We start from the raw sequence: 12,738 nt of genomic DNA, 5'->3' as shown, positions 1-12,738 counted from the left end.
CATCTTTTGAAATAATTGATACGTAAAATTTGGACTACACAATAAATCCATTTGATTTAATAGATTGATTGATTGAATGATCGGTCTATCTAAAATATTGCATCCAACAAATGTAGAATGCACATTCTTTTCAACACTCATGGAATATTTTCAAAAATTGACCATATAGTAGAATATAAAGGAAGCTTTAGCAAATATATAAGGAGAGAACTCAGTTAAGATGTGTGATCTGATCTTAGTGCAATTAATAAAAAATAATAACATAAGTATATATTATGTATAATAATATAAAAGTTCAAAAGACAATAATAATAAAAACAGAAAATTCCCATATGTTTGGATGTGGTAGTGGTTGAGAGGCATGCATAGGACACAGATGTAAAAAGGACACTGTCTTGGTTTGCTGTATGTATTCAGGGATTGTTTAAATTTATTTAAGAAGATATTCACATAGTACTCATGCAATAGAAAAAGCTACTTTGCTGTTGCAGAAAATTTTACTCATACTCCTTCCTTTTCTCTGCCAATGCTAAATAAATTCTTAACCCAAAAGGGTGATTTTTAAAAGACACATGTTCTTTTCAACATAGTTATAAGTTGGACGCAGATTTGGATAAGCTCTCAGTAGTTCATCTGCAGCTGTGTACAAACTTTATCCCGGGTTGTTCAGGCCCAACACAGCTACTCTGAGACCAGATAACTAAAAAAACTAAAAAGAAGCTATACTGCTTTAAGTGAAGAAAGCTCCAGCCCTCAGGTGGAGTCATTTCCGGGCCCTGTGATAAAGCTCAGCTGGGAGGCTCCTCAGTCATTACTACAGGGCAGGAAGGGCACGTTCTCATCAGCATGGTAAGTGACTACACGCCTATGCATTGTTGTAGGAAATTTTACTAATCATATTTGGCCCTTTTCCCACAGCAAACAATTCTTAATAAAATTGTAATGCAAGAGAAGACATTTGTAAAGAAACATTTGTTTCTTTCAATGTCCAAGTAGATGAGTTGGGAGCAGATGTGGACAGGCTGTAATCTATTCCTCTGTAATGTTGCTTCTTTCAAGGTAAAGCTCAGTTGATTTGCAGTAGCTCACTGCCATTAATTGAAGCACTGAAGCAAAAACCTTTCCTTCCTTTAGTTTTCACCTTTGTTTTAGGCCCAGAGTGCTGATTTTTCTGTAGATATTCATTGCTTCACTTTTCGTTAGGCTGTTAAGAGTTTCTGAGGACTTCAGACTTAGGTAACCGTGGCTAACCTCATAAATGCCTGGCAGGGTAAAGTGCGCAGACATCTTCTTTGCCCTCCCTTGAGTTTAGTTCTTTGGGCACCACAATGAATAGAATAACTTACAATAATTCTGTTTTGGGATGACCTTTTCAGATCCATTTGCCCTTTATTTTTTTCTGTGCCAGTTTTTCAGTATCTTTGAATTTTTAATTCTTCAATGGAAGCAACATTTCGAACTGCTTCTTGATCTTTGATTTCTCACCCCATTGGTCTCTCTGTCCAACATTTAAAAAATTTTAAATTGTTTTGCTTTTAAAAATTATGCCTTTCAACATGAGAGAGACTTGTGATAATAGCATGTTCTGTATCTTATCACTGTCAACATTCTGGGTGTGATTTTGTATTATGGTCTTGCAAGATGTTTCCACTGCGGGAAATGGGTAACGGATGCAAGGGATCTTCCTATGTTATTTCTCACAGCTGCATATCAATCTACAAAGACCTCAAAATTGAAAGTTTAACTGAGAGTTATGCTTTTCTAGTAATTCAAATAATCCTTATAGCAGCGTTTAATAATGTGCTATGACTTATCAGTGTTGACGTTCAGTGGACATTTTATAGTCTTCTACTTTATAGTGTGACTAATATTTTCATAGAGAATTTGGAAAAAAAGGGAGAGGCTAAGAGAAGAATAAGGCAAAGATAGTCTTCTACACCCTTGGACAGAGTTATGTTATAAGCTAAGCTCCTTCAAAGACGAAGGATGCTTGTTAGTCCAGGCTATTCGTGCTGATTTCAAAAAGAACAGCATCACTCTGCTTTCTGAGTCACTTGAACAGACCACGTGAAGAGGAACAATCTTTTTTTTTTTTAATGTTAGTGATTATTTTTACTGTGACTATTATGAACAAATACCACATGTACACCTGAATTTTACTCGTCACTGTAACACAGGACTGGGTGGTAGCCAGTGGAGAAGACAGAGAAATCTACATGTAAACTTTACAAAGTAAGAGGTTTTAATGATGTAGAAACAATGAACGTTCACCCTCTCCTTTTAAAATGTTAACTTAAATTTAAGGAGCCAAGTTTTGATCAGATTACAGCAGCTGATGTATTTGCAGCACTTTAAGTCCGACAGAAGGGGAGAGGAATAAGATTAAGGTTATCTGAAGCCTGATAAGGGGTATTCGAAGCCTGTTTATAACAGAATATGCTGTCTTGAGAGGTGGAATATTAGTTTGTCCTAAATGAAGTGCTTTCTAAATTAGAGAGACTGATAGTTGCACAGAAAATAAACAAGATGGAAGCCCTACTAAGGTAGTGAACTTGAATTGGTCATGAAGCAGAGGGCTGTTATGCCTTGTGAATCACAGAGACAAAGTACAAAGGTTTGATGCCATTGAGCATGAACAGAGTCCAAGTCAGATTGCAGGGGTGTGGCCGACCAGAGCCCTCTCCTTACTTTCCTCTGACTAGTGGTCTGTGTAGACCAGTGGTCCTCAACTTTTTGGCACCAGGAACCAGTTTTGTGGGACACAATTTTTCCATGGAGTCGGCAGTGGGGATGGTTTCTGGATGAAACTGTTCCACCTCAGATCGTCAGGCATTAGTTAGATTCTCATAAGGAGCACACAACCTAGATCCCTTGCATGCGCAGTTCACAATAGGGTTAGTGCCCCTATGAGAATCTAATGCTGCCGCTGATCCGACAGGAGGCAGAGCTCAGTCAGTAATGCTCACTCACCTGCTGCTCACCTCCTTCTGTAAAGCCCAGTTCCTAACAGGGCACAGACTGGTACTGGTCTGTGGCCCGGGGGTTGGGGACCCCTGTGTAGACCACAGGTGAGGGATTGACAGGAGGCCTGAGGTCTTTCAGTAGTTGAATCTCAGGCTTTAGGGCAGTGTAGCCATGAACAAGGGCAGGGCTCCCCTCAGCTTATCTGGTCAAACAGCCCAAAGGGTCCTGATGATGCAGAAGACATGGGGGTCTCATTCTACAAGACCCTCTAAATAGATTTGTTTCAGCACCACAGTCAATCAAACCACACCAATATTAAGAACAGCGATTGCTATCACCTCAGATTTCTTAGAATTTAGCTTTTACTTTCCTTCTCATTTTTTTTCTTTCCTTCTCTTAAAAACGTAGATCATTGTCTGTTTAACAGAATAGTTGTTTGCCTTAAAAAAAAGATGATTTAAAGTGGGATGGGGGAATATGAAGGTGGAAGAAATAGTAAAGTTTAGACAAGAAAATAAAATCACTACCCAGATATTACTAAACTTAATATCTTGATGCATTTTCTTTTAGATTTTTATGCCTATTTTTGAACATATTGGACATCATACTCTATATGCAATCATGCATCTTATGTGCTTTTTACTTAATATGTTATCATAAGCATTTCCCATGTCATAAATCTTTTTTTTTTGGGAAAACGTTTAAGGGTTGCATAACATGTCATTGTGTTGATGTAACATCCTTTAAATGCTCAACAATATATAAATGGTTAGATTAAATAGATTGGTTTTTGGTTTTCATGCTTATGAATTGTGATGCTTGTGAATGCCATCAGCCTACATCCTTGCATTTTAGAGTCTTTCTTTTGTAATTTGTTTGTTTATATCATTTGCCTAGCTAGTGGATGTCTTAAGTGTTTTTTTTTAGAAAGTTGATGTATATAAAATCAATTTTTATCTCTATATGTTTGTTATAAAACTTTTACATTTTGGAACTGTTAAATCTATTGCATTTTGCCTTGTAAAATTTCCCACTAGTTTTAAGTTTAGTATATCCATCCTTATTCAGAGTGCATATGAATGGTAAAGATAACATTTTAAATTTATCTGCGATGAGTTTTAGTACTTGACAAGGCTATATATTGATTTTAGTTTTATTTCTTTCCAATAACTAGCTAATTTTATTTCTAGACAAGCCCACTTGATATATATAACTACACGCACACACACACACACACACACACATCTCACCTATATTGAAAGAATAAAGTAAAATTAGTTGTATTTTGATTTGCATTGTGTGTGTTTGTCTTAATTCAATTCTTAGCCAAGTACAGAGTAGGTGCTTAATTTATGTTGTTAAAATAAACTTTTTAATGGAATTTAAATCCCAGGTTTAATTTTCCCTGAAGCTTAGCTGTACCCTGGGTCTTGGTTTCCATGAAACGCTTTTGATTATCCTTATAACACATTCCTCCGTGGCCTTAAGCTAGCTTGGTTTCTGTCATTTGTAACCAGAAGGGCTGAGTAACAGATCTCCTGTTTTCTAAACACCTGCTCAGTTCCAACTCACCATGACTTATTTTAGAGGGAGTGCCTTTCCATCCACATCGGTCAAGCTGGCATCCAGATTGGGGACGCCTGCTGGGAACTCTATTGCCTGGAACATGGAATCCAGCCAAATGGCGTTGTTCTTGACACTCAACAGGATCAGCTGGAAAATGCAAAAATGGAGCACACAAATGCATCTTTCGATACCTTCTTCTGTGAGACAAGAGCTGGGAAGCATGTGCCTAGAGCACTCTTCGTGGACTTGGAGCCAACTGTTATAGGTACAATAAATGTTCCATTCTAGCATACTTAACTGGAGCCACACTCAAACAAATCAAGTGGATGGGATTAGCAGATTATACAGGTCTATCTGAATGGAATCACATGGACCTTTCCCAAATGTAGAGGCTTACTCAGTGGCCATGGGTGATTAACATGACAAACACACCCAAAGGGAAGACCAGATTAGTGTTTTTGAATTTAAATTTATTTATTTATTTATTTTGAGATGAGTCACTCAGGCAGGAGTGCAGTAGCGTGATCTGGGCTCACTGCAACCTCCGTCTCCTGGGTTCAAGCAATTCTCCTGCCTCAGCCTCTGAGTAGCTGGGATTACAGGCACACACCATCATGCCTGGTTAATTTTTGTATTTTTAGTAGAGATGGAGTTTCACTATGTTGGCCAGACTGGTCTTGAACTCCCGACCTCAAGTGACCCACCTGCCTTAGTCTCCCAAAGTGCTGGGATTACAGGCGTGAGCCACCACACTTGGCCTAGGTTAGCCTTCTTTACCTGTGTGATGAAATGAATTAAGACCTGCTAATTGATCCACACATATATCATAATAGAACACTAAGTCTTTTCCTGGGTTTGAGAGCCATTTGCTAGAAGGCACTGGCAAAGAATCAAAAAGTTTTTCGATAGCTGCTTAAAAAGAGTAGAATATTTGAAAAGAATCCTAAAGGAAAAAGAGGCCAAATATATACCCTAGTTATGGGAAAAACAGTACAATTTTATGATTACTAACAATAGACTTGTAGTATGTCATGCAAAAACTCTTGAAATGGAGCTAGAAAAATAAAGGAGAGAGAAGGGGCTCTTACTGACTTAAGAGAAAAGCTAGACAGTGGGGTAGATTTGGGTTTGATGTTGTGCATCCCATTATTTGTTGGCGTGTAATAAACTTCCCCTACATTTAGTGGTTTAAGGCAATAATGATTGCTGGTTTGTTCATGAATCTACAGTTTGGGTGGGGCTCAGAGGTGACAGCTCGCCTGTGCTCCATGTGGTACCAGCTTGGAAGGCTCAAGTGGGAACTGGGGCATCCACTTTGAAAGTCACTCATTTACATCGCTGCCCCTTGGTGCTGGCTGTTGACTGAGAGAGTGGGAGGGGTGGAGAAAAGGAGAGGCTGACGAATTCAAGGTCATGATAAGAAGGAATTGAATACAACCCCATAAACACTTCAGCTGGGTGATAGAAGTACAAAGATGAATAAATGTTGATTTTTGCCTTCGACGTGAAGATGCCTGTCTTGGTCAACTCGGACTGCTGTATTGGAACACCATGGACCCGGTGGCTTAGACAACAGTTGTTGATTTCTCACGATTCTGGAGGCTGGAAGTCTGAGACCAGGGTGCCTGGTGGTTGGCTTCTGGTGAAGGCTCTCTTCCCAGCTTGCAGATGGCTGCCTTCTCACTGTATTCTCATATGGCAGAGAAATAGTCTGTGTCTCTTCTTATAAGGGCCCTAATCCCATAATGAAGTCTCTACCCTTATGACCTAATTACTCACAAAGACTCACCTCCAGATACCATCACATCAGGGATTAGGGATTCAACGCATGAATTGTGGGGGGACACAGCCATTTAGTCCACAGCAGCTATTGTTTACTAGTTGGGGAACTGCACAGGTATTTTCCTCTAATTCTTTCAACACTCTGTCAGGAGACATTATTATCATCCTCAATTTATAGATGAGGAACTTTATAAATCTTGGGGAAGTCAAGGAACTTGCTTAAGATCACTGAGTTATTAGAGTAGAGCTGGGTTTGGTCCTAGGTTTGCCTTCTTATTAAATCTATTGTCTTTTAACAGGAAAGTAGCCTAATCTAGTGAATAAGAAAAAATAAATAGTTATAACAACACTGTTGAAATTGAGCCATATAAAATTGCCAGTATATGACTATTTTTTAATCTAAAAAAGTTAATTGTATTGTATATGATACAACTTAATAGACATTTCTACAACAAGTGTGTCCAATAATTTGACCTCCCTGGGACACATTGGAAGAAGAAGAATTATCTTGGGCCACACATAAAATATACTCACACTAACAACAGCTGATGAACCAAAAAAAAATATTGCAAAACGATCTCATAATGTTTTAAGAACGTTTACCAATTTGCGTGGGAATGCATTCAAAGCCATCCTGGGCTGCGGGATGGACAAGCTTGCTCTGCAAGGCAGAAGGAATGAATAACCGGGGAGTCATCCAATATGTTTGTTTGTTTGTTTGTTTTTTAGAGCGAGAGAGACTGGGTCTTGTTCTGTCACCCAGGCTGGAGTGCAGTGGCGTAATCATAGCTCAGTGAACTCCTGGGCTCAAGCAGTCTTCCCACTTTGGGGTCCTGAGTAGCTTGGACTACAGGCACATGTCACTACATGTGGATAAGTTTTTTTTTTTTTTTTTTTTTTTTTTTTGAGACAGAGTTTTGCTCTTTTTGCCCAGGCTGGAGTTCAATGGCACTATCGCTGCTCACTGCAACCTGTGCCTCCCGGGTTCAAGCAATTCCCCTGCCTCAGCCTCCTGGGTAGCTGGGATTACAGGCACATGTCACCATGCCCTGCTAATTTTGTATTTTTAGTAGAGACAGGGTTTCACCACGTTGGCCAGGCTGGTCTTGAACTCCTGACCTCCAGTAATCCACCTGCCTCGGCCTCCCAAACTACTGGGATTATAGGCAAGAGCCACTGCACCCGGCCAATTTTTTGTTTTTTATAGAGATAGGGTCTCACTATATTGCCCAGGCTAGTTTCAAACTCCTGACCTCAAACAATCCTCTCACCTTGGCCTCCCAAAGTGCTGGGATTCCAGGCATGAGCCACCACACCCAGCCTCACACACCTTCTCATGAGGTGACAGCATTTGCAAATTCAGAGTCATGAAGGAATGCCCCGCAAGTGTAACCAGGAGTTCAGCTTGGCCAGGCATAGGTGTGAGCAGGAGCTCAAAGCAGGGGATGAGTCTGGGAAGATGGTCTGGGGCAGGCTCAAGGGTGAAGTTAGGGCAAAGTGAGGAAGTTGTGGTCAGAAAAAGGAATTTGCATGTTTAAGATTTTGGAAGTGGGAGAGTTCTGAGTGATGATGATTGAAGTGGAATGCAGCTGACTGACACCGTAGTTAAGGAAGCTAAGGAGCCATCATGTAATTGTTCAAAAGCCATTGATGTCTCTGAGGATATTGATTAAGGGCACCATGCTGGGTAGTAAAGCCCCTGAGCAACCTGTGCCCGGGAAGTTAGAGTGGATGGCATGGATTACTTATGAACGGCAGGTGCTGCAACCACTATGCCCTGAGATAATGGATTTTATGGAAATAAATTATGAACCTATTGACCCTCAAGATCCCGACTCAACATTGTCATGAAGAAGGAAGCTTCCGTAAATTACCTTCTTAGCCTGAATGCAGCCTTATAGCTTCAGATAAGAAGGAAATAGTCCACCCAGAATTACACTTTCACTTATATCTTGTTTATAAATATATCTTTTAAACATCCTAGCTCTGGGGGAGGTTTGTGTGTAAGCTAGTTAAAAGTTATTTAAACTCAATTTCAATAAATATTATTTGAGAGGTTGCAAAATTGGAGTTTAGAAATTCATGGTCACGCACGGAAGGCACGGTGAATTGAAAAACAATCGTGCTCTTATTAAACAGAAACACAATGCATTTCTCCTTAGGCTGTGAGCTTCTAGGACTGGCTCAGCTATCTGCTGCCAAGGCTGGTGGTGTATAATGAGGTAAATCTGCATAAATGCATGTCATGAAGCCAGTTCTATCATTGTTACTTATAATTGCTGTTGTTATATGGGCCGTGCGTTGTGCCCTATGTTCTCGTAACAGCTCAATGGGGTAGATCTTGTTATAATCCTTATTTATGAGCTAAAATCATTGACTAAGTAACTTCTCTCTAGCTTAGTGAGGAAGGCAAGATAGGAACCCAGGAAACTGATTCTTGAAACATGCATTTAACTACTAAGCAATGCAGTATCCCACAGTAACCAGGGCAGCCGTCCCAAAGCCTACTTAGCCCTGAAACACTGCTGTTTAATCATCAGGAATAATGCTATTTGAGTAATTCTAAGGTGGAGGAGTAGGGCATGCTGCCCAGGTTTTTAAAAGGCAATGAGACCTGGCAGGGGCTACCCTCAGTTGTATTGGATACTGCCAACATCTTAACGCCAATTGTCCTGCGTCATGCATTTATGCACTCAGCATTTGGGTCGTGTGGGCATTTGAGTTTGCCGTGCCTTCCCTGTTAAATCCTCTTTTAAAGCAGATTTAAAAGATGGATATTCCTTTATTTTTTAAAATTCATTTTATTTTATTTTACTTTTTTTTGAGACAGAATTTCACTCTTGTTGCCCAGGCTGGAGTGCGATGGCGTGATCTCCACTCACTGCAACCTCCTGGGTTGAAGTGATTCTCCTGCCTCAGTCTCCCGAGTAGCTGGGATTACAGGCACCCACCACCATGCCTGGCTAATTTTCTGTACTTTTAGTAGAGACAGGGTTTCACCATGTTGGCCAGGCTGGTCTCAAGCTCCTGACCTCAAGTGATCCACCTGCCTCAGCCTCCCAAAGTGCTGGGATTACAGGTGTGAGCCACTGTGCCCTGGATATGCCTTTCTGTGTGCCTTTCCAGCACACAGTTCGCAATTTGTAGATAAAAATACTTGTCTCAAAATGCCAATGTGTCCTAGGGTGGGCAGTGGGTTGAAGTGTGTCCCCCCAAATTCATACCCATCTGCAATCCCAGAATGTGACTTTATTTGGAAACAGGGTCTTTGCTGATGTAGCTAGTTAAAATGAGGTCCTCCTGGATTAGGGTGGGCCCTAATGCTAAAGAATTGTGTCCTTATCAGAGGAGAGAGCACAGACACACATACAGGGGAAAAGGCTTGTATGCCAGAGGTAGAGATTGGAAGGGGGTAGCTAGAAGCCAAGGAGAGCTAAGAATTGTAAGTCACCCGGTGCCAGGAGAGATGTTTGGACCAGACGCTCCCTGGGGCCTCCAGCAGGAACCAAGCCTACCAACGCCTTGATGTTAGACTTCCAGCCTCTGGAGCTGTTAGGAAATAAATTCCTATTGTTTTAAGCCATGATGTTTGTTGTCATTGGTTATGGCAGCACTAGGAAACTAATAAGGGGTGCATGGTAGAAAAACATACTTTCCATGTATATGTAAAAAATTCCACTTCTCCTGGACTAAGACGGGCTAATTCAGCACTATCTAAATTCCATTCCTGGACCACAATATTGAGAGAAAGCATGGGAGTCAAGTACGGGGAGGCTCCAGGAGGACTAGCAGCAGGTGGACGGCTGAATTGCACTGGGTGAGTTGCACTGACCTCCTTTCACCCTCTGCAGATGGGATCCGGACGGGCCAGCACCGTTCACTCTTCCACCCCGAGCAGCTCCTTAGCGGAAAGGAGGATGCTGCTAACAATTACGCGCGAGGCCGTTACTCTGTGGGGTCGGAGGTCATCGACCTTGTGCTGGAGAGGACCCGGAAGCTGGCAAGTGGCTCCCCCTCTCCTCCGAGTGGGCTGTGCCTGGGGCATGTGGGGTCCTGCGGCAGAACTCACAAGCATTATCTGCTGTCACCATCGCCACCAACCGTCTCTCCCTGGGCTCTGGTCTGGGTGCTCAGAACTGGGGAGGGGTTCTCATCTTGGCTTTGATTTCCCCTTGTTACTAGGAAGGAGACAGAAACTTTTATACTTACTGGGGGGTCCCCTGATCACCTGATCATCCCTGGTTCTCCTAACACAGGGTTCATCTTGTTACGAGAGACTCCCATAGCACTCTAAAACCTGTCACTTTCCAAGAGTAACCTGTCATTTTCCAAGAGTAACTGATGTTTATGAAGTTAGCAAGAGGCACTCCCTATCTGGAGATGCGTGACTCTATTTACTGATAATTAATTCCTCTTTAGGGGCCTGAGTCTGGAGACCCTTTGCTAAGTAAGAGTTTTGGTGTTTGTCATATTTGTTAGCTACTACAACACCTTTTACACCAGCATGCCAGATGGAGCATAGACGTGGGGGGAATGTTATTTTGCTTCAGTGTTTTGTCATTTTCTTTGTTATTGATGAAGGCCTTGTTTGCGATCACATACCGATAAATGCACAGAGGTCAGTGAAAGACAGGTGGATATTTATGCTCTGCTTATAGTAAAGCTCTGAAGTGCTTTGCCTACTCCAGAAGTCCCCTTGAGAGTATTTCAAAGTAGCTATGTTTGTTGTGGAGTTAACAAAGGCAAAGGAGTCCTTTCTGAAAGATTTTGTTTTGGGGAAACCTGTTGTATCCTGCCACTACTGTCCAATTCACTGCTTCTGGATTTATTCAGCTGAATTCTCACATCTCATTTACTTTCTCCAGGCAGAACAGTGTGGTGGACTTCAGGGATTTTTGATTTTCCGAAGCTTTGGAGGAGGCACTGGTTCAGGGTTTACGTCTCTCTTAATGGAGAGGCTCACAGGAGAATATAGCAGAAAGACTAAGCTGGAGTTCTCGGTCTACCCAGCCCCCAGGATCTCCACTGCTGTGGTAGAGCCTTATAACTCTGTCCTCACCACCCACTCCACCACAGAGCACACGGACTGTACCTTCATGGTGGACAACGAGGCCGTCTATGATATATGCCATCGTAAACTCGGTGTTGAATGCCCCTCTCATGCCAGCATCAATAGATTGGTGGTTCAGGTGGTATCTTCCATCACTGCCTCCCTCCGGTTTGAAGGGCCCTTGAATGTAGACCTAATTGAATTCCAGACCAACCTGGTACCTTATCCGAGAATACATTTCCCCATGACAGCCTTCGCCCCCATCGTCTCTGCTGACAAAGCCTACCATGAGCAGTTCTCTGTGTCAGACATCACCACTGCCTGCTTTGAGTCCTCCAACCAGCTGGTCAAGTGTGATCCTCGGCTTGGGAAGTACATGGCCTGCTGCCTACTCTATAGAGGGGATGTGGTCCCCAAGGAAGTGAATGCAGCAATCGCAGCCACGAAGTCGAGGCACTCTGTTCAGTTTGTAGATTGGTGTCCAACTGGTTTCAAGGTGGGCATCAACAATCGGCCGCCCACGGTGATGCCGGGTGGGGACCTGGCCAAAGTCCACCGGTCCATCTGCATGCTGAGCAACACCACGGCGATTGTGGAGGCCTGGGCCCGCCTGGACCACAAGTTTGACCTCATGTACGCCAAGAGAGCATTTCTGCACTGGTACCTCAGAGAAGGCATGGAAGAAGCAGAGTTCTTGGAGGCCAGGGAAGATCTGGCAGCCCTGGAGAGGGACTATGAGGAAGTGGCGCAAAGTTTCTGAGGCATGTATGATGGGTGCAAATGAATGTCAAGTTAAAATGGCATGTTTTCTTTTCAAGCCGTTATATGCCTAGTGGGTAGTTCCCCTGATGAGCAGAAAAATGAACTCAAATCAGGCAAGACTCTAGGTTCCACACTAAATTAAGTGGGTCAGTACCAACAATGAACACATTATTTCCTGGTCTACTGGTACAAGTCAGCTCTGCTACCTGGGAGCCTTTGGAAGCTTAGAGTCCTTTGAACTGCTGAGTCACTTCTAGGTGGGATTTTTTTGTTTTACCAAGAGACAATGAAATCCTGAAGTTTATGCTTTTCCTTTCTGGTACCGGAAGTAGAAAACAGCACATGTTGATTACGAATGTTTTTTCCCCCATGTCTACATTTTTTACACTGATTAAATCATAAATATTTTCAGTATGATTCTTATTCTTCTTTGAAATGTGTGCCCAAAGGGCTCAGTTTGCTTTTTATGTAAACAAATTTGGGTCTTTCTAAAACTTGAATTTGGGTGTCCTGCACGTCAGAGGTGAGAGCCGTCTCTTCCACTTCCCTTTCCTGGAGGTGGTGTTCTCAAAGTGTCGCCCGCTTAACTCTGTGCCAGAGTCACTTCAGAAGTT

General features: G+C 42.2%; 1 protein-coding gene across 2 annotated transcripts; it reads left to right on the top strand.

Moving 5' to 3' along the window:
- Window positions 1-810: 810 nt before the first annotated feature.
- TUBAL3 (tubulin alpha like 3) lies at window positions 811-12,538 on the top strand. Of its 2 annotated transcripts, none has more exons than NM_001171864.2 (4): window positions 811-849; window positions 4,672-4,795; window positions 10,164-10,312; window positions 11,178-12,538. In NM_001171864.2, the coding sequence occupies exons 1-4, from the start codon at window positions 847-849 to the stop codon at window positions 12,120-12,122; spliced, it is 1,221 nt and encodes a 406-aa protein (NP_001165335.1). In that variant the 5' UTR covers window positions 811-846; the 3' UTR covers window positions 12,123-12,538. The 2 variants fall into 2 exon arrangements, with proteins under 2 accessions (NP_001165335.1, NP_079079.1); NM_024803.3 differs by having other exon boundaries at window positions 4,552-4,795.
- Window positions 12,539-12,738: the final 200 nt, after the last annotated feature.

The sequence above is a fragment of the Homo sapiens genome, chromosome 10 (assembly GCF_000001405.40).
Source record: "Homo sapiens chromosome 10, GRCh38.p14 Primary Assembly".
NCBI lineage: Eukaryota > Metazoa > Chordata > Mammalia > Primates > Hominidae > Homo > Homo sapiens.
This window is presented reverse-complemented; position numbering and strand designations above follow the sequence as displayed.